Source organism: Homo sapiens, chromosome 8, assembly GCF_000001405.40.
Source record: "Homo sapiens chromosome 8, GRCh38.p14 Primary Assembly".
NCBI classification, from domain to species: Eukaryota; Metazoa; Chordata; class Mammalia; order Primates; family Hominidae; genus Homo; species Homo sapiens.
The window spans coordinates 80,999,735-81,027,312 of NC_000008.11; the positions used below are offsets into that span (position 1 = coordinate 80,999,735).

A 27,578-nucleotide genomic window follows, 5' to 3' on the forward strand; every position below is an offset into this window, starting at 1 on the left:
TCACAGAAATAATATAGTTTATTGTTTATAAACACTTTTGCCCCAGACAAGCCAAAAGGCAAGTGAATTTGATGGGTAAGGAATCACTTCTAAGGTTGGTTTCCCCCAAATTCTGACTTGGAAGCCAATTCTCAAGGTTCATTTTTAATGGTGAAGAGAGAGAGACAGAGAGAGACACGAGAGAGGGAGGGAGGCAGAGTGCAAGGGCATGGTCTTTCTAGAAGTACGTATCACATGCACTCTGACAGAACCCTGAGATGCGCTTCTATTTGGGCTAATGCGGTACGTTCTACACTGACTGCATAAGGAGCACGGGTAGTGGGGATTCACTTTGCACAAGAAGGCTTCATGGAATGTTTCAGACAGTGTGTATTTTGGGCTTTAGGTTCTATTTCTTCCTGCCTTGCATGTTGGCTCATCCAATCTAATTTCCTTGAGGGCAGGGATGTCTCCACCTCACTTCCCACCATATTCCTAGCACCTCTATGACCTGGGAAATAGGAGCCAGTCAGGAATTTTTATTGAATACATGTTTCTGTAGGAAGAATGGTGAGTAGATTCTCAAGCAGATTCTCAAAATGCAAGTTTAATTCATAATTTATACCACAAGGAAGGGAAGGAGAGTAATAGGGATGAGCGCACTAAGCAAACAATTAAAAAATAAGCTAAGAGTGTCTTAAGGCAAATCCTTTTTTTTTGAGACAGCATCTTCCTCTGTCGCCCAGGCTGGAGTGCAGTGGCGTGATCTCGGCTCATGACCCTTTAAGGTAGATGTTACTGAATCGATTGTAAGGACTCCTGGGTTTAAGTGATTCCCTGCCTCAGCCTCCTGAGTAGCTGGGACTACAGGTATGTGCCACCACGCCTGGTAATTTTTTTGTAATTTTAGTAGAGATGGGGTTTCACCACGTTGGCCAGGCTGGTCTTGAACTCCTGATCTCAAGTGATCTGCCAGCCTAGGCCTCCCAAAATGCTGGGATTATAGGCATGAGCCACCGCACCTGGCCTTAAGGCAAATCCTTCACTCTGGAATGAACACAGCCATCTGGCTTCTCTGTATTGTCACTGAAGCAGCTGAACATCTCCTGAGAAAAGTCACAGCACCGTAATATCAGTGTCTTCATCCCCCGCAGCAGGCCTGTCAACTCCAGTAATCTCACCATGTCCCCAAGCTTAGTGTTCTTCTGACCCCTCTCTGCAATGACAATTTCACACCTTCTCCAGCTCCTAGGTTCCTCACACAAGCCTCAAGGGGGCTGGACCTTCCATTTCTAAAGGAAAAAGGAGCCTTAAACATTGTTGGCTCTCTTTCCAACATTTTTCATCTGACAAATCTAAGCATCCTATGAGTCTCACTTCCTTGGGGCAGCTTTCCTGATGCCAAAACCCTCCCACCTCTCAGGTGTGGCTGAGGCCCATCTTTTACAAGTTTTTTCCTTCCTTACTCAAAATTGAAATTATGAAGCAATTCAAGTGTCTCCTCTGCTGGGCTAAGCCCCAGGAGGGAGGAACTTCAAACTGACCTATCTGGTTCATAACTGTAGCCGTAGTGTGTGGCACCCAGTAGGCACTTAATATTTATTGGATGAATTAATAGTTAAGAGGAAGAAAAGGAGGCAAGAGGAAGTGCATATTGGTCAGATCTTCAAAGGTGGTAAGAGTTGGAAGAAACCCTTTTGCTCTGTCCTCTCAAGTGATGCTGAAACTTGATGGGGGCACAAGGAACCTACAAAAGCCTGCTTGCCCGACCACCTGGCCAGGGTAGGTTGGTCTCCATGGTGCTCCTGCTTGCATATAATCCATTACTGTGGCTTTACCCAAGTTCCCTCCAGGGCCCCCAAGAGGCTCGCTACATACCAGTTTTGACTCATAGGCTTGACATAAAAAGCACCGAAAAATGGAAGTGAGCACAGACTGTGTGTCTGCCAGCTACTTTACTGTGGGTTATTTTATTTCGTCCTCATGACCCTTTGCGGTAGATGTTATTGAATCGATTCTATGGATGAGGAAACTGAGGCTCAAAGTTCAGTGCCTTATTTAGGGTCATGCAGCTACAGGCTCTGTCCCCAGCACTTCCTCTTCTAACACACTGCCCAGCATGCTCTCAGCCCCAGGTATTCACAACCTCCAGGCGTCTGGCCTGTCTGGGACAGCAGCAGACAGGTGAGGATGTGAGAGCCACACCCATCTCCCTGGCAATCTTAACTTCACTCTATCAGGACTTGTTTTAGGGCCAGAGAGAAGAATGTTCACTCCCATCTGGTACACCCACTGCTTACTCCCAGCCATGCATTAATCATAAACCTCCTTCCAAGGTATCTGGAGGGCTTTACAAACATCCCACCAGCTTTGCTGTGATGGATGTGGTGTCTACAGGCAGGCCAGTTTACTGAGACCAGCACTATTTGCAGTCACGCTCTGTTAAGCATTGCTTTGCACTGTTTTTATTTGGCTTCTGAGGGCAGTAATTCAGCCACCTTTTTTTTTTTCATAATAAAAGACTTAAAAAAAAATAAACTTCAGTTTCTTTGCCAAGAGGTTCAAAAATGTACCACTTGACACAAATGCCTCTCAATCAAATTTCCTACTCGTGGCTCATGATATTGAAAAGATCCACTTCCTTTTAGCACTTGTTTAGCCTGGGCTAACTACAAATGCCCCCTTTCGGCAGACAGCTACTACCTCACTGGGACTGCACAGTAAAAGATGCTTGATCTGGGAAAAGTAAACCCTCAAGACTGGAGAAGTAGAATTTAAGAGCAGATGGTCATTTCATATGTCAAAGGAATGTCAACAGAGGAGTTTGTAACACCAGTTCACTGTGAGCTAGTGCCAAATTAGAGAACGCGTCCTGTGGTCTCTCCCACACCATTAGATGTACTGCCATCGTAAGGACTGCTGGCTTAACAGTGCTAATATTGTACCCAGCAATGGCAAAAATGTGGCTGAAATCATTACGCAGTACTTAAATAATGGCTATCTTTATGAAGTTTTAAAAATATTAATAGCCAGGCAAAATATTTCTTGATTCATAAAAATAGAACCAAAATCCTCAAAACACACATCCCTCCAAGTTATTTACTGGTGTTATTGTGAATTACTTAGGGCTGGGGAAATGTTTCAAGAGAGACTAGCTTGATTAGAGAAAGTCAGAACTTGTATTTAAAAATATATGTCCAGAGCTTATCCTCACAGCTTTCTGCCTGGAGAGGGCAGGGAAGGCAGATGACTCAAGGGGTGTGACTCCTAGGCCCCTTGTAGAGGAAGGGACAGGGTCATGGTTCTTGTAGAATGGAACTTCCCCAAGGGTGGTCCCAGTTAGCAGCACCTGGGAACTTGTTGAAATGCAGAATTCTGAACCTTCCCCCAGACTTATGACTCAGACACTCGGGGGTGGCGGGGCCCGGCAACCTCTGTATTAACAAGCCCTGCAGGTGATCGTGACGCACTCTGAAGTTTGAGAAGCACTGTTCTAGAAGAGCTGCTAGATGTATATATGGTGATCTGGGATCTTGTTACAGATTCTGATTTGGCAAGTCTGGAGCGGGGCTCAAGAGTCTGCATTTCTAACTGGCTTCCAGGTGACATCCAGGCTGCCAGTCTGTGAACTACATTTGAAGTAGCACTAGTACAGATGCTGAAGGTTATACAGCCGGATCCCTGGAGCTGGAACCTAGCCTTCAGTTTACTCAAAGATTATGGGATGATAAAGTCAGAGCTTTTGTTTCCTAGGAGCCTTCTTGATTCCCTTAAAGGAACTTGAATATAAGGCAGCTCTTTCCCACTCCAGAGTCTGGTAAAATGGCAGTGATCGGGTACATTGCTGCTACGTAGAAGTACAGACCAGGTTCTGCTCCATTCTTTTCCACTGAATTGCTGTGTGGCCTGAAGCGAGTCCAAGCCGCCCCATGCCTCAGTTTCCCCTTCTGAAAAATGTGGTCATTTCAAAAGAAGCTAAGGGTTCTTTTGAACCCTTAGTTTCTATCATTTTATAAGTTGCCAGTGATTCCTAAAGTCTAAGATAAAAATTCAGGACTTTCCACACAAAGGAGAATGTTGCTCCAGCAAGAATCTTAAATTCTTAATGTGATCAATAGTTTCAACTCCCAGAAAGCACAGTCTTAGTAATTCAGAGGCAAACCTGATGAGGCCACAGCAGTTAGGTGGATGTCAGGAAGAGAAGCCATGGACGGCCTTTTTAGTCAGCATGCAGTGCCGGGAATCACTCCCGACAGCCCTTCCAAAACACCATTTGCACTCTGGCAACATCACCATGGTACACCGGCTGCAGGGCTGACTTACAAGTCTCGTTATTTTTTCATTAACATGTACTTGGCATATTTACATATTTACAATTCAAATTTAGAGTAGCCTTTCAACAAAATGCGAAGACAGAACCAAAACACACAGATGGTGCACGGACAGGTAACGCAGAAAGAAAACACTTCTCCTGAAAGCTTCCGAGGCTGATTAAAGGCATATACCCAAAATATTGAAAATCTTACACAAAAAGCAAGTTGGAAATGGATCCATTTAATTTCTAATCTCAGGACTTGATAAGCTTGAGGAGGTTCCATATGTGATAAGAGATTCTGGAAAGCTTCTCTGTTTCTCTTACTACAGGCAGTCTGCAACTCGGGTTGGTTTCACTGGTTTCTTGACCAATACCTCGCATGATATTTTCTACTTGCTGACACTCTGTCATTCATTAAACACATAATTGATAAATACCTACTATGTGCCAGGCACAATTTCATCTTCTAATCACACCATGAATATGAAACAATATTGGACCACTATAAACTTTGCAAGAGGTAAAAACCTGTTTAGGATTAAGTTCCTAATACAGAGCTGTATTTTGACCACAAATGAAAAGCCATTTATTGTTGAACTCCAAGCTTGTGCAATCAGAACAAAAAAGCCACAAGTTCTTTCACTTCTACCATGTTGCACTAGAAACAACATTTAATCACAATAATTGCTGCTTGATTCTGTTTAGCCTGGCAGCAGAGGCTCCATGGCATTGATGCAGCTGCAATGCCCTTGGACTGATGTTGTTTCAAGCTGAGAACTGTCCCCAATGTGTCTGGTGGATTCCAAAGACAGCCTTTGCATGTTCACACGGTGGAAAGGACTCCCTCCCACGCATGCACTTGACCACAGCCAGGGCCAGCCGGCCTCTGAGGATGGGCTGGATCCCAGGGACCAGGAAGGTGCTGTATAGAGCCTACCTCCCCCACTTTCTGAATGGAAGAAAACTGATTTCACTTTACAGTTAAAGTGAAAGCTTAAAACAGAAAATATTCATGCAAGAGGTGACACATGCATTCAAAATCACACAGAACATAAATGACTGGCAACAGACCAAGTCACCTGGTGAGGAAAAGAGGGGAAGGAGAAGGATGAGAGGGCTGAGGCCAGGACGCAGGGGCCTTGTGCATCTGAGAGAGACAGGACATGGGGGAATAGACTTAGGGGGCTTTCCAGGTAATTGTTTTCTGCTTCACCTCTTTGCCTGTGGCTGGCCTTAATCCAGGGGGAATTCTGAGAGAATGGCATATATATGTATGTATGTATGTATGTATTTATATACTCCAATACATTGATCTCCCTCTCCTCCATTCTCCAATTTAGGGAAGTTAAAATTAAGTCAACACAGGTGGGGGAAATCAGTACAACAGAATAGTAACACTCGTGCAGATCTTGTTCTTTCAGTCTGACATGGCTGAATGTGGAACTCAGTGATCAGAATCAGTCATGCTCTTTGGAAGAGGTTCTTGTTCATTTCAAAGGCTGCTAATACCTTGGAGAGCCAAAAAGACCTTGGACCCGATACAAAAGGCAATATGGAGAAAACTGGAGGGTCTCTAGTAGAGACACAACAATGGGACAGAACATTTCTGAGCAAGTGCGTGTTCTGTCAACTGAAGTGATAAGTGTGATTGTGGCCCTATGGAATACCCAGCCTCCATCTGTATCAGAGCGCGTGTCCTGCAGGTCCGTTCAGCACACCTGCCCCTCCATCTGTCAGCCTCATAGGCTTCACTTGCCGTCCTTCCCAGGCAAAGATGCCCTCCAGAATCCCTCACTCCCTGACGTTCTCCCAGTCCTGCCTTGTAACACATGGGGCAATTTGTTAAAGGGCTGAGGCCCAGATATAATAGAGTTGGAGAGGGGCCCAAGAATCTATATTTTAATTTTTAAATTTAAATTTTAATTATTTTTTGAGACGGAGTCTTGCTCTGTCGCCCAGGCTGGAGTGCAGTGGCGCGATCTCGACTCACAGCAACCTCTGCCACCCAGGTTCAAGCAATTCTCCCACCTTAGCCTCCCAAGTACCTGGGACTACAGGCATGTGCCACCATGCCTGGCTAATATTTGTATCTTTAGTACAGATGGGGTTTCATCATGTTGGCCAGGCTGGTCTCAAACTCCTGACCTCAAGTGATCTGCCTGCCTCAGCCTCCCAAAGTGCTGGGATTACAGGCATGAGCCACCATGCCTGGCCAAGAATCTATATTTTTATCTTGCATCCTAAGTGATTCCCAAGTAGGTAATTCACTAGAAAACCCTTTGAAGGACACAGGTCTCGTGCTTGTGAGTCCTGCACTGCCCAATCCTGAATCTGTTCTCTATCCCTTCTCTCTCTGTGTGGGCACTGAAGTGCCACCTCTTCCTGGTCCCTTTCCATCTCACTGGTTCTGTAGACAAGCCTCACTGTGTTCCTGGTTCATAGTGTGAAAGTAAAAATCTAATCTCATAGCGGGTCCCCAGGGGCAGAGGCAGTGAAACTCCAGAAGTCCACAGGGAGAACTCAGAAAACTGACCCTCCTTAGAAAGCCATGGAGCCAATGGGATTACAAGACCTCATGCACCAAAAAGAATGCAATTCTGAACATCTTTAAAATCACACTGTCTTCCTCGAGATTTTCCATTTTTTTTTTCTATTTGGAAATCATGAATAAAATGGAAGTTATGGGTTAAGGCTGTGTTTATGAAAAGTCTTGGAGTATAATGTGAAGAGTTTTACATTTTGAGTGTCACAGAGGTTTTCAAGTTGAAGGATCATATGTGGAACTCACATTGTATGCCACAGTATTAAGAACTTTTTTGGAGAGGCCTTAGAATATGGATTCATTAAGCTAACATTTTAAAGAGAGCCTTTCCCTGTGCTGAGTTCAAAGCCCTTTGTATGTAAGGCAGTCAACATGGTCACTCTACCCCCAATTTCCATTTTCTTTGGAAAGTAGAGACCAAGGAAAGTCTTCAGGTTGTACAATGAGAACAAATATCACAGTATGGCTCTGACAGCCCTGCCCCCTTCACTTCTCTATGCTACGTTTTCACTCTTTTTCTGGAAAGGGTATTTTAAAGGCATTCAACAGAGAGGCAGAGAGAGAGAGAGTAGCCTATGATACAGCGGCAAGGTTTGCAGGTAGGGACAGGCATATATTAGAGACATGTTGTGGGAAGTGCGGGAAAAAGGTGCCAACAACATCTTCTAGAAATGTGGAAGTTATTTGATTTTAAGTTAATTTATCATAAAAGAAACATGGATCTCATGGAGTACAAGGTTCTATTAAGAACTTAAAAAATAGGCCAGGCATGGTGGCTCACGCCTATAATCCCAGCACTTTGGGAGGCTGAGGTGTGTGGATTACCTGAGGTCAGGGGTTCGAGACCAGCCTGGCCAACACGGTGAAACCCCGTCTCTACTAAAAATACAAAAATACAAAAAAAAAAAAAAAAAATAGTAGACGGGTGTGGTGGCGGGCACGTGTAATCCCAGCTATTCAGGAGGCTGGGGCAGGAGAATTGTTTGAAGCCAGAAGGTGGAGGTTGCAGTGAGCTGAGATCGTGCCACTGCATCCCAGCCTGGGTGACAGAGCAAGACTCTGTCTCAAAAAAAAAAAAAAAAAAAAAAAAGAACTTAAAAAATAAAACACGGGAGCTTGAAGAATGACACATGGAGTCAGGAATGTGAGTTCACACTTCTCTGCCACTGAGGCTTTGAGGAGGTCTGGCTGTACTAAGAGCATAGACTATATTTCTGTGAGTGGCACCTCCTAGAGGCATGAGGTTTGCACTAAATAGCCGTGGCAGTGGCCCTGCCAATGCTTACTGTGAGAAATATAACAGTGGAATCTGGTCCGGGGGAATCACTGTGTGCTTATTTCTCATGCATCTATTACAGGAAAACTTCAAGAAAAATATATTTACAAAACAGGACAAGAAGATGTGTTTTTAGGACAAAAAGAAAACTCATCTAGGAAAATCAAGGTAGCCACTGACATCTAGTAATTGCTATTGGGAAAAGAAGTTAGTATGTATCATTTTGTCCATCGGATTAAATAATATAAGCTATGTGGTTTCATTCTAGTTCTTTTTGTAAGCAATTATTTCTAACAGTTACGTGATTTCTAGACACAAATTGTAAAACAATATGCTATTATCCCATAAACAAGAATAATTCAGTCTTTTTCACATCACATATTTTAGACCTTTCTCCAAACTCTTCAAAATTCTACTTCATTATACTTAATAAATTGCCATGTTATAGTGTTTCAGGAATAAACAAACTTTAGGGGCAACTGGCTCACTAGTAGTCACTGGTAACACTCTGCTTCCCTTTACGAAGAACATAATTAAGAACAATGTAAGGTGTTCTGCAGTAGCCACTTATCTATCATACGTTTTTGATTCTGTAGCCAGGATCCATCTAAGACACCAAGATGTATGACTACAGTATAGTTCTCAAACTATTAATACTCTCCCAAAGTATAATACTACATATAATATATATAATACTACATATTATATACTAATATATAATATATATAATATAGTAGTATATATAATACTACTACTGTAAGAATTTAAAAGGGTAAGGTGAACCTGACAGATCAAATTCCAATCTCACGTTTCCTAACAGAGTGGTGTTCTGCTCCACTTCCTCTCATCTGTGACTTCGTATGGCTTTCAGATGAACTGAAGGACATGCTCTGCCACAGCTCACTGGAATACCAACATCCTCCAGGACTGCAGCTGGCACAGTCCTACTGACATGAGCTCAGGACTCTATGAGGTAGCAGCTGAACCTACTGATGAAGTAATGTCATAAAAGTAGCTTTTATAAAATATTAATATAAGAAATTATCTTGATTTATCTGAATTTCTCATAAAACTATTAAATGACATTGTTCTACTGTGTGGTACATAAAGCTTTATGTGTCTGTGTGATAAACTCCTAGAGATTTTACTTCTCAGAAGAAGGTTTTCTGTCCTGGTGAAGTAGTTTGCCTTTTTGTATAAAAGATAAACTACACATACAAAAATCATATTTCCTTTCTTCTTTTCCCCTCACATGGCTGGCTGGATGCTCAAAGCTGTAATTATCTTTAATTATAGCAATTATCTTCGTCTAGCTCTTTCTTTCCTCTGCCTACACCAATGCCAATTACAAGTTTTTTATTTCATATGTTTTAAAAAACCTTATGTGTCTTTATTATAACAACTTCAATATTTTTAGAAGCAGATATTAATTTCTGAATAATGGATACATGAAACTTGAAGTTTAATTACCATGGACTATTCCTTTATAGATTTTAAAAGTTCTCAATCTCCAGATTATGCTTTAGAAGGAAAATACATTTTCAAAAGAGCAAAGAATAAAAGGAAAAAGGAAGTCAGAAAGGAAAAGACTTTCCCATCAAACTAACCTTAGGGACCATAAGCTCTGATCTCTAAAAAAAATAATGAAGTATTACCCAGATGATAAGATATGAGATATAGAGACTAAGATGCTGAAAATCAAACCAACGGTATCCTAAAGACTATGGCGACCTATTAAATTAGACCAGTGGTTTTCAACCCTGGCTATCCATTGCCAACTTTTTTTTTAAGACAAGGTCTCTGTCACCCTTGCTGGAGTACAGTGGTGTGATCATAGCTCACTGAAACCTTGAACTCCTGGGCTCAAGAGATCCTCCCACCTAGGCCTCTTAAGTAACTAGGACTACAGGCATGTACCACCACATCTGGTTAATTTTTATTTATGTATTGTTGAGATGGAATTTAGCTATGTTGCCCAGGCTGGGCTTGAACTCCTGGCCTCAAGTGATCCTCCTACCTTGGCCTCCGAAAGTGCTGGGATCACAGGTGTGAGCCACTGTGCCCAGGCCAAACTTTTTACAATACACTAATGCCGAGGTCTAACTCTCAAAGTTGGCTTAATAGATCAGGAATGGGGCCTTGACATTGATATTTGTGAAGGTGTCCCCAGGGTATCTGAATATATGTTTGGGGCTGAGAATCACTGAGCTAGACTATTCATTCATATTTCTAAACTCTTAACTAGCAGATGCTATTCCATCTTATTTCTCTTGTAGTATTGGAACATGTCATAATCAGGATGTGGCAATATAAAACAGATACAGCTCATTGTTCCTCTTCCCACATAACGAGTCTATGCTGCAATTCACATAAACCAAAGTTTCTCACATGTATATCCTTAAAGCCCAGGCCAAAACAGATCATGTTTTGAATCTATTCCAGAGGGTGGTATCTGAGCTCACACAACATAAAGACTCAGATTTAGAAGATAGGGATTTTGAGCCACACTTTTTTTTGCTTGTTTGCTACATTATTTCTATGTAGTTTTCTCTGCATCCCTCAAAAGTTATATGGCTATTGTAATTTATTATAGAAATTAAAATAGCATTATTTTTAAGCATTTTCAAATATAAAAATTTCAACAAGAAATATATAAAATCTCTTGGCCTGTTACTTGTTTGAGGGTAACATACCACTGTTTTTAAGCGTATGTCAAAGCTGATCCAAAATACATTTCTCTATCCACTTGCAAAATGATCCATAATTCTTAGAAAGAATGTACAATAAATCAACACATTATTATGACAATAACTTTTCTTTATGATTTAGGCTATTTTAGCTTTTCTATTGACCTTCATTGTTTAAACGGACACAGTACACTTTGTTCAGCTCAGTTTGACCAACATTCATTGAAGGGTTCTCATGGGGCAGGTGGACCCAACCATTCCAGCCTCAGCTGGTTCCTTGGTCTCCTTGACCATGACTTCTCATGTGCTTTTTCTTTCTAGCCCTTGACCATGTCAAGCTTCCCCTCACCTGGAGCTTTTATACTAGCTGTTTGTTTTCTGGAATGAACATCCTTCAGGTCATCATACAGCTGGTTCCTCCTTATTTTTTCAGTCTTGCTTAAAGATCGTGTTCTCAGAAAAGCATTCTATGACCAACCATTCTGAAACTCTCCCGTCCACTCCACTACACTCAGCCTTCATCTCATTACCCTGCTGTCTTTTCCTGTTATCCTTATCTGAAAGCATATTATTTATTGGCCTTTGTGTTTATTGTTGTATGTACAACCTCTAGAATAGAACCTTCATGAGCACAAACTCTATGTTTGTCTTTGCAGCTATAACTAAGGCACTGATATGGTTTGGCTGTGTCCCCACCCAAATGTCATCTTGAATTGTAGCTCCCATTATTGCCACATGTTACGGGAGAGACCTGGCGGGAGATAACTGAATCATGGGAGTGGTTTCCCCCATACTGTTCTCATGGTAGTGAGTAAGTCTCACAAGATCTGATGGTTTTATAAGGGGAACTCCTTTTGTTTGGTTCTCATTTTCTCTTGCCTGCCGCCATGTAAGACATACCTTTCACCTTCCTCCATGATCGTGAGGACTCTCCAGCCACATGGAACTGTGAGTCCATTAAACTTTTTTTTTTATAAGTGACCAGTCTCAGGTATGTCTTTATCAGCAGCATGAAAACGGACTAATACATGCACTTACAGCAGAGCAGGTGCTTAGTAAATATTGATGGAGTGAATAAATGCATATCTTTGCAGTCTTACTAAGAATAGTACCAAATACAATCCTGTATTCTTTAAGGTTGTAACTACTGATGGCTAATAGATAATGAATGTGTACAGTTGCAATTTCATTTTAAGCTATAGTCCCTCATGCAATATGCACATGTTGGGATTTTAATTAGATTCACAGTGCCAGCTACTTTTGCAGAGAAGGCGTTTTGCAGCCTGTGCTTTGCTGACCTCTGGCTGGCTCCAAGCTTCTGGTAGAGAGGGCTTCTCCATTTGCACATTTTGCAATCTTAGTTGTTCCTTTCAATTTCCAGCAGAAGGCAGCTAGACATTAATGTCTGAAACTGTACTTCCAATCGTCTGTTGAGGTTTCTTTAGATCACTTTATCGGGAGTAACACCATGTTTATTTGGCATAGGGTCCTCAGTCTGCCATGGTAAAGTTTTTGGGTCTCTTGCAATTGTTCATTTCCATACATGTCAGCTTGAGATGGGAGGTACATTGCAGAAAGCATCCATTTAATGTTAGTGGACTCATTATAGCCTGGGATCTTTTGTTAGTAATCTTATCCTTCCATTATTACCACATGATACTGAGAGTACTGGCCAAGAAGTCAGCTGCAATATCTTCAGGACAAATCCTACTGACATATGGAATGACAGTTGGGCACTACCACTATTTTGAGGCACTTCTGTTTGGTCTAGACTAGCACTTTAAGCCATATTGATAACACACTCTGCCAGCCTTCCAAACATGTGCCTATGTTTGCATGTCAGCTCCATTCAGTATCTTCAGTATTTCAGATTGCCATTCAGCATAGAAAAGTATATTTGAAACCCCTACCAAAATCAGCTACATTTGTATCTTGTGCAACATGCACAGTTCAGTGCCCTTGCCCAGAGTAGGCACCCAGTAAATATTAACTCCTTTTGCTGCTTCCCTGGCTGGTTTAACATAATCTTATTTTATTCAAAAACATACTTAAAGAAGAATCTGCATCTTCCTGCATTCAAAGCAGCTGATTCTTCTATTATGATTTATAATTTATAATTGAATTTAACACAGCTGTAACTAAAATAAAGAAATAATCAGATACCAGCTGTCCATTTGAATATATTATATATACATTGAGTTTTTAAAATAAGCAGGTTCTTCTGAATCCACTGATGAATTTTAATGTCAGGAAAAGAGGCACAACCAGACATTGTATTGTGTGATGCAAAAGGAAACCCTGGGCACTAGCTAGAAAGTCTAACGATAATGCAAACTCGCATTGATCAAGCCTCTAAGTCTACATACCAGAATTTAAAAAATTTTTTTTCACTTCTGTCACTTAAATCATCAAATAGCAAGCAAGAATTTTGCCTACCCATGTCCGTCAACTCACATCCACAAGACAGAGGTTTGTGTATAAGTTTCTGTGAGAAAATATCAGACCAAATTTCAGACACTGTATAACTATCCAGAATCATTATCATCCATATGCCAACTTAAAAGGCAGAGGTATGGGTCAAAGGATGATGCCAAATTATGGTAACCACACATTTGAGAAAACACCCCAGGATATTGGCTCCTCTCCCTAGCTATGAAATACCATAGTTGTTTAAGGTATGGTCTTGGGTTCTTTTCCTGATTTTGCTGCATATTATCTTCCTGGACACATCATCCAAAACCATGCCTTCATTTCCCATCAGGTTGCCATGATCCCAGATCTGTATCTCTGGCCCAAGCCTCTTTTCAGAGCTGCCATCCCATATCCAGCTGCACCTGGGCTTCTCTGCCTGGGTGTCCCCCAGGCCCTCGGCCTCAGTGTGCGCAAGGCTATACTCTCCATTGTACCCTGCCCCTGGGGTCATCCTCCAGGGCCCCTCTCTCTGGAAATGGTGCCACCTTCAGCTAGTTGGCCAAGGTCAAATCCCAGGTCCTCCCTGTTTACCACCCTCTCTGTTTCCTCCCATATCCAACTCAACATCAAGTTCCCCTTGCCCTTTGTTTTTGAGACAGAGTCTTGCTTTGTCACCCAGGCTGGAGTGCAGTGGCGTGATCTCGGCTCACTGCAGGCTCTGCCTTCCGGGCTCAAGCGATTCTCCTGCCTCAGCCTCTGGAGTAGCTGGGATTATAGGTGTCTGCCACCATGCCTGGCTAATTTTTGTATTTTTTGTAGAGACAGGGTTTCACCATGTTGGCCAGGCTGGTCTCAAACTCCTGACCTCAAGTGATTCGCCCGCCTCAGCCTCCCAAAGTTCTGGGATTACAGGCGTGAGCCACTGCACCTGGCCTCAAGACATATGCTTAATATAAAATGTTCAATATAATATAAATTCTCTACAGTGCCAGTATAAAGAACCATAGAATGTTCAGGGATCTCTGAGATCTCTGAAATCTAGTTCCACATATTTGCATTGACATTTTATTTACTAAAAAATCATTGCGGTAATTTAAAATATTTGTAGGGTTTGCCAGGGTAAAATTCTCAGATTTTGGGCTTACAACTTTGTACATAACTTCTAGTTTGGCAAACAAACGTAAAAAATATGGAATCCCCCTAAAAGATATTATGTGTAAATAGAGTCATCAAATTTAGAATATCAAGCCCCAGATGGCTTATCAGTAGCAACAAAAACTGCTTTCCTTGCCAACACAAATTTTATAAACCGGAAATCATTCTCAGGCATGCAAAGATAGACATATCAGGTCTACAAATACTTATTACTATGTGCTTAGCACTATGTTAGGTACTTCATTACATGGCCCATAAAACATTACTTTAAAAACAAACTGAGAGTTCAAAACAAACTATTTACTCTGTAGCAAAGGCACTGAAGCCTTTCCAGAAAGTGACCCATACTCCAGTGCTGCAGAGCAAGATGGGGACTAGCAGGCTTTGAAAGCCAAAGCAACACCATCAGCAAACCTGTGTTGGGATGTCTTGAAAATGTTAATTAATTTATATTTGTTTTTCTTTTCTAATGACATAAATCGTTGGGGATTCAATATTTCTGTTGTTGTTAACAGCAAATGACTCTAAATGTGATGGAATGGCCACGTAAACATGTCTTTGTACGACCATTATTAAGGAAATAAGGAAGGAGGCTTGTAGCTTCAGAAGCTTCCCCTGTCACTCAGAGAGGAAGAAAGTGAGAGACATGAGGATCAGAGCCACAGTTCTTAATCACTCCACCACTAAGACTTTCTAAAATCTTAAGAGGAACAAGCAGTACAGTGGACATTCAGTGTTTGGGAATGAGGTGCAATCGGGCGGATAGAGGGCCCTTTTGTGGGCTTTGGAGCTTTTGGAGGTGGTGGGTTGGGTAAAGCAGGCTGAAGTCAGGAGGCAGAGCGCAAGAACCATCTGATCTCTATCATTTAAGGACTTAGAAGTTCCATAATTATAAAAAAGCTGGCACCACCCTCAATGCACATTTGCCATATTTCTGCACTACACATTCTTGAATACCCTTTGATGTTCTATTTATTTCAAAGAGTATAGGTATTTTTTGATCCAGTTCACATCACTGATTAGAGGTATTTTAGCTGCCAGATAAATAAATCTCCATTGAATGCAATTTATGGGATCCAAAAGCAATGTGTGGATCAATCTAGAACTATATGAGGCTTAGCTGGTTTTATGAAAATACTCATAACAGTAAAAGAAATCAATAACAATTTATTAAGGTTTTTGTTCTTTGTATAGGTTTTGAAATGAGTTCTTACCCATTATAAAAGGCCTTGAATATTTTGGGAACTGAAACATTGTACTTGACCGTCTCTGGTTCTTTTCCTGAGTTGACCCTTTATGTTGAATAAGCATATTCTACACATTGCAGCTGCCAGACTGTCAGGCCAAGATACACATGCACTCAGAGGCAGTGAGCTTTACCCACTTACATTATATTTCTGCAACAGGGAAAGAATGTATAATGTTTAACCTTTGTAAGAAGCACTTGGAGGTTCATCTGATATTCTATAAAAGTAAGCAATTAAAGAATTTGGCTTAAAATCTGATTTCTAATTTTCATAGGAAAAAGTTAATACTTTCCATGTATTGAACATCTATGATTAGCCTGGTACTTTTTAGGTTGGAGCCTCACCTAGAAAAATCAAGTTATATTTAACTTTTTCTTCACAGGATTGTTGTGAGCTATAGGTAGGTATAGAAGATTCCCTAGATGGTCACAAGTCTTCCCCTCCCTGTATCCTCACTTCTTGCAACGTGACTTTGGAGCTCCTTCCAGCAAGAAATGCTGTCTGTTTCTCTACTCTTAATGGTGGGCTGATTTGTGACTCCCTTTAGCTCATGGAGCTCATTGGAAGCAATGGTGTGTCAATGTTGAACCCAGCCCACATGCTTTGAATGATTCTACTCTCACTCTGGAATTCTGCTGATCCTCTATGTGAATAAGCCCACACTAGCCTGCTGGATGATGAGAAGGTGGTCATCCAGTTGTCCTTATTGTTCCCCCAGTAGCCAGCCAATCCTCAGAAGCAGAGACATCTAGCTGACTGCAAGCTGACCAAAGACACAGGCATGAGCCCAACTGAGACCAGAAGAACCTCCAACCTAAGATGGCCCAAACTATAAAACTGTAGAATGAGCTGCTGAGTAAATGGCTGTTGTTTTTAAGCCGTTAAGTCATGGAGTGGTTTGTTATGCAGCAAATGCTATAGGAGGTATTATTGTCCTCATGGTACTAAAGAGGCACAGTAATTTGTTCAAGGCAAACTAGCTGGTAAATGGTAAGGCTATCAGGTTATTATACCTGCTTTAAGGGCCTACACTCTTAGTCACTTCACTGCCCTTTGATGTAAATGAGAAAGTACATGCTGAGTGCCTTCCACATGCTCAGTTGTCGGCTAGACATATTTTCTACGTTTAGGGAACTTACTACCTCCATTTTGTTTTTCACTAATGAAAGCACAATTTGACAGTTCTCCTTATGCTATTGCCTCACCTGAAATATATTTTCTACCCTTGAAACCTGCTCAAATGTTACCATTTCTCAGGAACACCCTCTAATGTCCCAAGATAGAACTGAAGTTTTCTACCTGTGGTTGATTGCAAAAAATAACCATTAATTGCTCACTGTTTCCTTTCTCCTTGCCCTTTAAAATGTGACTTTTTAGTACCTTCCATCAAGAAATGAAATCTCTTTCCCCACTCCTTGTGTCTAGACTGGGCTTGTGACTTGCTTTGGCCAGGAAATGTGGCAGAAGTGATGGTGTGCCCATTCTCACACCAGGCCTAAGGTGCCGTGGATACTTAGGCATTCTCTAGGAAACCCTAACTCCATATTCCAACAAATCTAGGTTGACCCTGCTGATGACTGAGAGGCCAAAGGAACAGAGCTTGGTCAGCCAGCTTGTCTCAGTTAAAGCTCCCAGAAAAGTGAGAGAGCCCCACCAAGATCAGCAAAGCTGAACCACAGCTGACCATTGTTGCATGAGTGAACCTGGCCAAGACGAGAGGATTGCCCAGCTGAGCCCAGCCTAAACTATCAATCACAGAATCAAGAGCTAAATACATGTTCATCTAAAGCCACTAAGGTTGTTATGAAGCAACAGATAATGAATACAGATCCTTTGTATTCTTTGGGCATGTTTAAACTTATTTTTGGAATAGCATATGTATTCAACAAAGGTCACCAGATGAATAAAGAAATCACTAAATATTTATGCAATTACACTAAGATTTCTCTAACAAAACAGAACTCTGACTTTTTATTTCTAAGTGAATAATTCTATCTTTCCTGGCTGTGAGACAGAGTGATGTTTATAGCACAGGACCTGATACTTAGCAGGTGCGCTCAATAAATTTTAGCTCCCACTGATCTTGTAGGTGAAATAAGATGCCAAACAAAAGTCAAAGCAAACACCATGCGTTGACAAAAGCAGGATGTTACCTCCTAAATCCTTTCAAAATCAGGACAAACTCTCCTGGTATTTGTAGGATGGAGACTTAGGGCAAGCAACACGTGCTTTCTGCCCCTCTCCAGATATTGGTAAGTTTCTTTCTTTTTGAAAATAATCTTCTTTAAAGAACTTCACAGCTACTCAAGCTACCCAATTACAAAGAGCAGGAGCATTCCACTACAGAAAGACCTCCCCAGGAGGCTTTCCTTGCTTGTTCTCAAGGCCTGTATTTCTCAACTTTGGCTGCATATTCAAAGGACCTTGGGAGCTTTAAAAAAATACCTCCAGAGATAGACTTAATTAGTTTGAGGGTATACCTGCACATGGGAATTTAAACAGCCCCTTGGGTAATTTTACTGAGTAGCCAAAGTGGACAGCCACTACTCAACCTTTTCCTAGAGTGCCTCTACTAGTCAAATAATTATGATCAGATTTAATTTTAAAGGCAGTCCTAAATAAACCCTTTTTATATGTCTATAATCAAAACCCAGCACTGAAATACTACAGCTGGAAAATAATTTCTTATAAAGGACAATGACTGGCTCAATAGAAATTAAGAAACAATGATCAGATAAGTAACTTCCTGATAATTAACTCGACAAGCATAATATGAACATTTGGCAAGGTCTCAACTGTCTTAAAGGCCTTAACATAATTAGGTATTCAAAACTTTATTGGCCTAAATTAAATACCACATAACATTATTGACTATATTGAATAACAAATTCAAGCTAAATTGCATTTAAGTGTACAATCTTAAAGTACATTAGCCTAAAATCTTTCTTTCTCAAAGTGTACATTATCATTTGGATAGTAATACTTTATCACAAATTAAGGCACAATTTAATATTTTAATATGATTTTGAGCTCAGATTCAACATGGGTATTTCAAAACAACTGGTCTTGCTTTCCTAGTACATAAGTGACTCACATGGCAATATGGTTTGGCTGTGTCCCCACCTAAATCTCATCTTGAATTGTAGTTCCCATTATTCCCACATGTTGTGGGAGGGACCCAATGGGAGGTGATTGAATCATAGGGGCAGGTCTTTCCCATGCTGTTCTCATGATGGTGAATGGGTCTCATGAGATCTGATGTTTTTATAAATGGGAGTTCCCCTGGCACATGCTCTCTTGCCTGCTGCCATGTGAGACAGGCCTTTGCTTCTTCTTTGCCTTACACCATGATTGTGAGGCCTCCCAAGCCATGGGTAACTGTGATTCCATTAAACCTCTTTCCCTTATAAATTACCCAGTCTGGTGCATGTCTTTATTAGCAGTGTGAGAACAGACTAATACAGTAAATTGGGACCAGGAGTGGGGTGCTGCTATAAAGATACCTGAAAATGTGGAACTGACTTTGGAACTGGGTAACAGGCAGAGGTCGGAATAGTTTGGAGGGCTCAGAAGAAGATAAGAAAATGTGGCAAAGTTTGGAACTTCCTAGACACTTATTGAATGGCTTTGATAAAAATGCTGATAGTGATATGGACAATAAAGTCCCTGCTAAAGTGGTCTCAGATGGAAATGGCAAACTTGTTGGGAACTGGAGTAAAGATCACTCTTGCTATGCAAAGAGACTGGCAGCATTGTGCCCTTGCCCTAGAGGTCTGTGGAACTTTGAATTTGAGACAAATGATTTAGGATATCTGGTTGAAGAAATTTCTAAGCAGCAAAGCATTCAAGAGGAAGCAGAGAATAAAAGTTTGGAAAATTTGCAGCCTGATGATGCAATTAAAAAGAAAAACCCATTTTCTGGGAGAAATTCAAGCCAGCTGCAGAAATTTGCCTAAGTAATGAGGAACCAAATGTTAATCACCAAGACAATGGTGAAAATGTCTCCAGGGCATGTCAGAGACCTTCACAGCAGCCCCTCCCATCACAGGCCTGGAGGCCTAGAAGGAAAAATGGTTTAGTGGGCCAGGGCCCCCCTGTTCTGTGCAGCCCCGGGACATGGCGCCCTGCATCCCAGCCGCTTCAGTTCCAGCCATGGCTAAAAGGGGCCAACATACAGCTCAGGCCCTTGCTTCAGAGGGTGCAAGCCCCAAGCATTGGTGGCTTACACATGGTGTTGGGCCTATGGGTGTACAAAAGTCAAGAATTGAAGTTTGGGAATCTCCACCTAGATTTCAGAGGATGTACAGAAATGCCTGGATGTCTAGGCAGAAGTTTGCTGCAGGAGTGGCAAGCTGATGGACAACCTCTGCTAGAGCAGTGTGGAAAGAAAATGTGGAGTTGATACCCCTACACAGAGTTCCCACTGGGGCACTGCCTAGTACAGCCATGAGAAGAGGGCCACTGTCCTCCAGACCCTGGAATGGTAGATCCACTGACAGCTTGCCCTGTGCACCTGAAAAAGTCACAGACACTCAACACCAGCCTGTGAAAGCAGCCAGGAGTGGGGATGTACCCTGAAAAGCCATAGGGGTGGAGCCGCCCAAGGCCATGGGAGCCCACCTCTTATATCAGCATGCCCTGGATGTGAGACATGGAGTCAAAGGTCATTTTAAGGTTTAATGACTGCCCTATTGAATTTTGGACTTGCATGGGCCCTGTAACCCCTTTGTTTTGGCCAATTTCTCCCATCTGGAATGGATGTATTTACCCAATGCCTGTACCCCCATTATATCTGGGAAATAACTAACTTGTTTTTGATTTTACAGGCTCATAGATGGAAGGGATTTGCCTTGTCTCAGATGATACTTAGGACTGTGGACTTTTGAGGTGATGCTGAAATGAGTTAAGACTTTGGGGGATTGTTAGGAAGGCATGATTGGTTTTGAAATGTGAGGACATGAGATTTGGGAGGGGCCAGGGGTAGAATGATATGGTTTGGCTATGTCCCCACCCAAATCTCATCTTAAATTGTAGCTCCCATGATTCCTACATGTTGTGGACCTGGTGGGAAGAGATTGAATCATGGGGGCGGGACTTTCCCATGTTGTTCTCATAATGGTGAATGGGTCTCGTGAGATCTGATGGTTTTATAAATGGGAGTTCCCCTGCACAAGCTCTCTCTTGCCTGCCGCCATGTAAGACGTGCCTTTGCTTCTTCTTTGCCTTCTACCATGATTATGAGGCCTCCCAGCCATGTGGAACTGTGATTCCATTAAACCTCTTTCCTTTATAAATTACCCAGTCTTGTGTATGTCTTTATTAGCAGCATGAGAACAGACTAATACACGTGGCAATAGGGTTCCTTTTTGTGATTATTTAATTCCTTTTTGGTAGAGTTCAAAAGTGCCGAAAATGATGGGTAATCTTATGTTTTAAGCTATATATTGCATATATAATGCATGCAAATTGCTTTAATGCCAAAATTTCATCCTTAATAAACTCTATGCTGTAATCACAAATGGACCTCCAACACACATTCAGAGTCAGAATTCTCCACGCCACAGGTTCTGAAAAACCTGGTTCGACCCTCTGACTTCACAGATACGAAAAATGACATCCAGAAAGGTTAAATAAGTCAAACAATGCCCACAACACCAAATGGCTGGGAATGGAGCCCAGATCATCTGAGCCTGCATCCTCTTGCCCCGCTAGGGGCATCTGGAAGATAACAGCAGAAGTGTGTTCAAGCCCTACAGAAACAGATGGCAGGGCTGGATTTGGTCTCCAGCTTTTGCCAAATACTTGGATTTTGCCAGCCTTTGCTATAGATGACTATGTTCAGTAGAAGACATTGACAACAGGAGATATCATTATCACTTTGTATACTTCAATTCTTCTTATCACAAAACAGGCTGAAGTCAACTATGGTTTTTAATACGTTAGTTATAAATGAATTTGCTGTATTTTTTCTAGTCTATTATTAACAACTTACGTCAGCATGGTACATGTGTTACAATTAATGGACCAATATCGGTACATTATTATTATTATTTGGATTTCCTTAGTTTGCACCCTATGTCCTTTTATTTTTGGTTCCAGGATCCCATCTAGGATGCTGCATTACATTTAGTCTGCTCATTTTTCATTACTTCAAGTGTGTGTGTGTGTGCATGTGTGTGTGTGTGTGTGTGTGCCTCTGTGTTTGTGTGTGTGTGTGATAGAGAGAGAGAAAGAGGGAGAATACAAGTATTTCTTTTCTATGTAGCAAATTAAGGGCAAAATCCTACAAATTACAATTCTCACGTTCTCTAATGTAAAAGAAAAGGGCAGATGTTAATGAAGTAATCTGTGGTTTCAATTATGAGGAAAACATTGTGGATTAAAGGAAGGTTAGGTTAAAAAGAATTCGACATTTAGAAGGACCTGGAAACAGAGTTTCTGATTCCAGCATGGATTAACAAAATCTAAAAAGCAAGGAATGTAGTAGAGTAGTGTGAGAATTTAAAGTAATAAAAGTCAGTTCACATAGAAGCATGGTAACGCAGAAGAAAGAAAAAACATTGTGCAATTTGTCACCATTTACTTTAGAGGAGTCTGCATTTTAAAATCCACAGAAATGCAGTGATAGTTTCCTTGCCAGTATTTGTGTAAAACATTTTCCAAACAAGACTGATTCATCTTACTCTGAAATGAATTGTTAGATCACAACAGTGAATGTTAAGGCATTTGCATCCCTTATAGAAATGCCAAACATTTTACTATGCCTGATGCTGTACTATAAATAGGGAAATTCAAATGCTAAAAATGTTCTCTAAGTTGCCAAACATAGTTCTTTACCATGTACTTCCTGGTACAAATGACTTGTTCTTCCAAAGTCTGAAAATGAAAGCTAACTGCAATTCAGAAAAATGTTGCAACTTACTTCAATTAATCAAATGTAAAAGTTATTTCATTTCTGTATATTTCTTTTTCCTTAGATCATATTTACTGAAAGGCTCCTTTAGACATTTACCAAAGTTTTATTAAATCATAGTTAGTCTGATAACAGTTGGGTTTTAAAATTAACAATTGGAACAGCCAAGCAATGTCAATATTGCTGGAAAATAACGATGCTTATCTAAGTCATTCTGAATTGTTAGCCACATTTGGATGTAATAGTAGATGTAAAATTTACTTACTATATTTTTTCTAAATAATATATGGGCACAATAGTGTCCATAAATCCATATATTAAAGGTAAAAGGTATTTCATTTCACAATAATGCCCATATATTATTGGGAAAATTGTACTAATTTATAATTGGCATTTCAAAATAGTATGAATATCTATGTATATCTTCAATAAAAAGAGAACATAAAAAACAGTATAGGGATTTGTTTAACATATTTAAGATTAGTATTCATTTGAAGAGGTGATCCCTGATTTTCACTGAGAGCTGGGACAGGAAATTATAGGAGATTTTTCTATGATGTGGACAGGGCAAAGCACAGCAAGAACTGCTTTATAACATGTTCTTCAAATCAGCTGACTACCCCATTGGCCTTTAATCTCCCTTCTGCAACTGACCAGACCTCATATTATCCAATTACCAGTAATCTACTCAAGAACAGCAAGGTTCTCTTTAAATTGGATACAAATAATTATTTTAATATCTTTTCCTGGCTTCTTTAAAGATTTCATGTTTTTTGACTTGCATAAACTTTTGCAAACCTCCATGGAAGATATTTTAATTATTTTAAAATTTTATGGCACATAAGAAGTGCCTTAAGTAAAATTACTTGATTTTAAGTTAATTATTATTAAAGGTTACATTAACAAGTTCATTTAAATACAAATTTTACTAATTCTAGTTTGACTTTTTTCTTATTTAACAGTGATGTGCTACTTAGTCTACTTTAAATTCATCATGTAATGAAATGCATGACTTGTTTTTGAAATTTTTGAAATGACAAATTTTTGAAATGACAAATGGGCATATACTTGGTTTTGGGACCAATTATATAAATTTCAAGCTACAATTAATATGTCATGATAGATAAAGAGATAAAAGTTTTCATTCATGAATATTTGGTAATCTTGCATTTTGGACAAAAATAATCAACCTGCAATAATTTTTGTGTTTAATTATAAAATAATGAGACAAGATAAAGCTTTAGGCTGCTGTTTGTATGCATTTCTCTGCAGTATATATATATATATTTGTGTTTCATTTGACTCTGTTGTCAGCTTATCAGGAACAATGTAAGGAGAGAGAGAGAGAGAAAGAGAGAGAAAAAAAGGGAGAGAGAGGGAAAGACAGAGGGTATGAGTGATATTTATTTCTAATAAATCAAGGTCAAATTACATATGATTATCATTACTTTTTCTTTTATCAACATTGAATTTTATACCATATAAATGTCCTAATAGACTAATATAAAACTCCACAAATACATTAAGATATTTAAGATTAAAAGAATAATGCAATAAACACAGGTTTAGGAAATACACACCCAGTTTAGGAAATAAAACATTATCTACACCATGAAAAGTCTGTAAGAATTTTGACCAGATGACTGCAAATGATAATCGTCACAACATCAGTTGCTTCTTCTGCTTACTGTCTGTAATCAGTTATCCATTCTATGTATAAAGTAACAGTAAATGACTAATTATAAAAACTAATTAAAGCCCCCATGGGGGCTTGCAGTGTTTATGTGAGTCATAAGCATGTTCACTCATCTGACTGGCACTAATAGCTTCACTTACATTAAGAGGTCCTGAAGCAGTATTATTTTCTAAAACGTATTTAAGCTATCATTTTATTTATTAATAATTACTTAAAAAATAGAACCTAGGTTTGAACCTTTACCACCCTGAACAACACAAAACCCCTGGGACAGCTTTGCATCGCTGTGATTTTGTGAAAAGGCTGTTGGAAACCCCGATCCAGGCTCGGCCAATGCTAAGTTAGAGATGCAGGAAGGAGAAGGGTGCACCCAGAACTGATGTGAGGATGCACAAAGGAGGCCATCTGGAGAGCGGCTGACACCCCCGGGCTCCTGGCACACGGCCCCTCCAGGATGGAGAGAATACTCCGGAGTCCAGAGTCAAGACCCAAACACCTCCACATATACGCAAGTTGGGCTGGGCTACAACATGTAATGGTTCCGTAAATGAGGATGATGTATATTAAATGTATGTATCCACAAGACCTATGAAGTGTATCTACTGAGGTTCCAAATCTTGGTGCCATCCCACCACAGAGCTGAAATTTCTACCTAAAAGACTAAAGGGCCATACCACAGAGTTAAAAGCCATGGGAAAAATTTGTTCAAACTGGGAACAGTTGTTTCTTTTAGGAAAATGTTTGTTTTTAGTTTAGGAGTCTGTTAATTACAAAGCTGTGGTCATAGTTCCCTTTTCAAACTGTTCCTTAGAAAGCATAGAACCAAATTTGGTTCTATCATATTAACCATGAAGGATTTCACAGAATGTATTTTGCATAATAACTTCCCTCCTTCTTCCATCTTTTCTACCTTACATTCTCTGTGCCTCATTTTACCCTCACCAATTTTTCATTTGATGTGTTGTGTATTGTATCTTATTCTTAAAACTCTTCTGGAACAAAACAGTCACCAGCTTATAAGGATGAAAAAAGCTTAGGGATAATTCAGTTCTATCCTCCATATTTTACAAATGAGAAATTTCAGGCTCTAAGGTCCCAATAGCTATCAGTTTAAAAAGGGACTGGAATTTAGAGACCCCAAATGTAGCTTATTGATTTTCCCTCAATATCTGTTTGCCTCCTATGACGGTGGATTTCTTTTTTTTTTTTACCTCTCCTTAAGACAACACTGACCAAATGATGTTGACAGACATTTTCACCCACCTGAGAAAATATAAAATGTAGGACATTCTGCATTCTACATGTTGCTTTGGAGAGTCACAAGAAAATTCTGAGAAATCCTGCAATAAGTAAATCAATTTAATTTTGCTGAACCCATGTCTCCCAAACATATCCAACCATGAATAAACCTTTGTTTGTTTTCTCTTTTGGGGGCGCCCAAATGAGAGAGAGCTGCACCCATCAAACTCCTCAGATTCCACTTTGGGAAGTTCTGTGTTAAGACAAGGCCTCCAGGAGCAACTGTCTAAATCCCCATGGCAGTGGGGAGGGAGGAATTGTCAAATGTCCATCCTGGAGAGCGGCTGCTCTCCACACTGGCAGGTCGTGCTACACCACCGTGCCCAGGGCCATGGTATGTCAAAGGGCCCAGGACCCACCAGTGAAGAAGCTGTAAAGGAGGGGCAGGGCAGTACCCTGGTCCTTTCTCTACATGCTGCTCGGGCGTTCCTCTGCAGGCATGTCACAGGATGCAGTTCACCCTGACAGCCACAGGAGGAGGTGCCTGGAATCCTGTTTACCATGTAACAGGGATTAGTCCGCACCCACTTTGAATTCTAGAAGGACAGGGATGACAAATTCTTCCTCCACTGCAGCAAATGCCATCAGTCAATGGGGATAGAGTTCCAAAAATGACAACATAACATGGTGTGTGTACCTCTGTGGGGGCAGTGTGTGTGTTTACAGACCCTAAAGGGGCCTGACAGTTAAGCAAGCTCTGCTATGGTCCAGGAGACACCCGTGTTTAGACGCATGGAGCCCTAATGCCTAGACCCTGGAGTAGATGCCAATGCTGTTTCTACCCTTCCTTGGCAAGTCACTTACCCTCTCTGAGCTTTAGTTTCCTCTTTGGTAAAACAGGAATGTTAATAATAGTAATAGGGTGATCAGGCAGATTAAAGTTTAATACTTGCAAAGTGCTTAGACCAGTGCTTGCCTCGCTGTAGGTACAATATGAGTGTTTGTTAAATAAAATAGTATCATTCACCTATAGTCCCAGCTACTCAGGAGGCTGAGGCACGAGAATCGCTTGAACCTGGGAAGCAGAGGTTTCAGTGAGCGCAGATAGCACCGTTGTACTCTAGCCTGGGCAACAGAGCAAGGCCCTGTCTCAGAAAAACAAAACAAAAAAACCCCAAAATAAAAGAGTGTCAGTAAGTGTTTACTCCAATTTCCCTCGACCGATAAACATTTTCTTTCATACTAGATGGTGACACATAGCATTGGTGAAACAAGGCCCTTGCACGCCTTGCTTTAGGGCATCCTCCCCCGAGCCACGATGATGACACACATGAGGCTGGTGCCCACACTAACTTAGCTGCCTGCAGGCTCTCCCAGCTTTCTGGCGAACTGTGGTCACAGGGTATGGAGACCCAGCTGTCACTGGTGTGTGCTAAAGATCAGGTCTCAGTGGTTACCGGAAATTCCGCAGGAAAGGAACAAGCAGGCAGGATAGGAGGCATGGCTGCTGAGTCACAGATGGGCCAGCAATTACCCTGCACACGAAGGTGTCTTCCAGGGACCTGCCAGTTCTGCTGCTGCAGGCAGCACCTCCAAGGAGTCCCTGGAGGGAGCAGGAGAACCTGGCCCTGCCTCAACCTCACGTCCCTCAGTAATCCTTAACTCAGCTGTGAAAAACAATAAAATAAAAACTGCTTGAAAAACAGACCAAAAAAATGTACCAAATGGAAAGAATAAAGGGAGTTTATTCAAGCCTTGGTGGTTTTTTCTTGCTATCTTTGTGATGTACTTCAAAATATCATCATATAAATATATTTCTATACTTTTTTTTTTGAGACAGGGTCTTGCTCTGTCACTCAGACTGGAGTGGAGTGGTATGATCTCAGCTCACTGCAGCCTCTGCCTCCCAGGATCAAGAGATCCTCCCACTTCAGCCTCCCAGGTAGCTGGGACTACAGGCATGCACCACCATGCTTGGTTAATTTTTGTGGAGACAGGGTTTTGCCATGTTGCCCAGGCTGGTCTCGAACTCCTGGACTCAAGCAATCTGCCCACCTCGGCCTCCCAAAATGCTGGAAATTTAGGCATGAGCCACCACAGCTGGCCAATTTCTATAC

General features: G+C 41.0%; 1 protein-coding gene and 1 long non-coding RNA gene across 18 annotated transcripts in view; both read right to left on the reverse strand.

Annotated features, from left to right (window-relative positions):
* On the reverse strand, positions 1-26,529 carry LOC124901967 (uncharacterized). Its single transcript, XR_007060979.1, has 2 exons — positions 26,489-26,529; positions 1-25,562 (listed from the first exon to the last, which is right to left on the reverse strand). It is a non-coding gene; the product is annotated as an uncharacterized LOC124901967 (long non-coding RNA).
* Positions 1-27,578, reverse strand: part of PAG1 (phosphoprotein membrane anchor with glycosphingolipid microdomains 1) — a 144,259-nt gene that overhangs the window by 31,925 nt on the left and 84,756 nt on the right. The window lies entirely within an intron of this gene.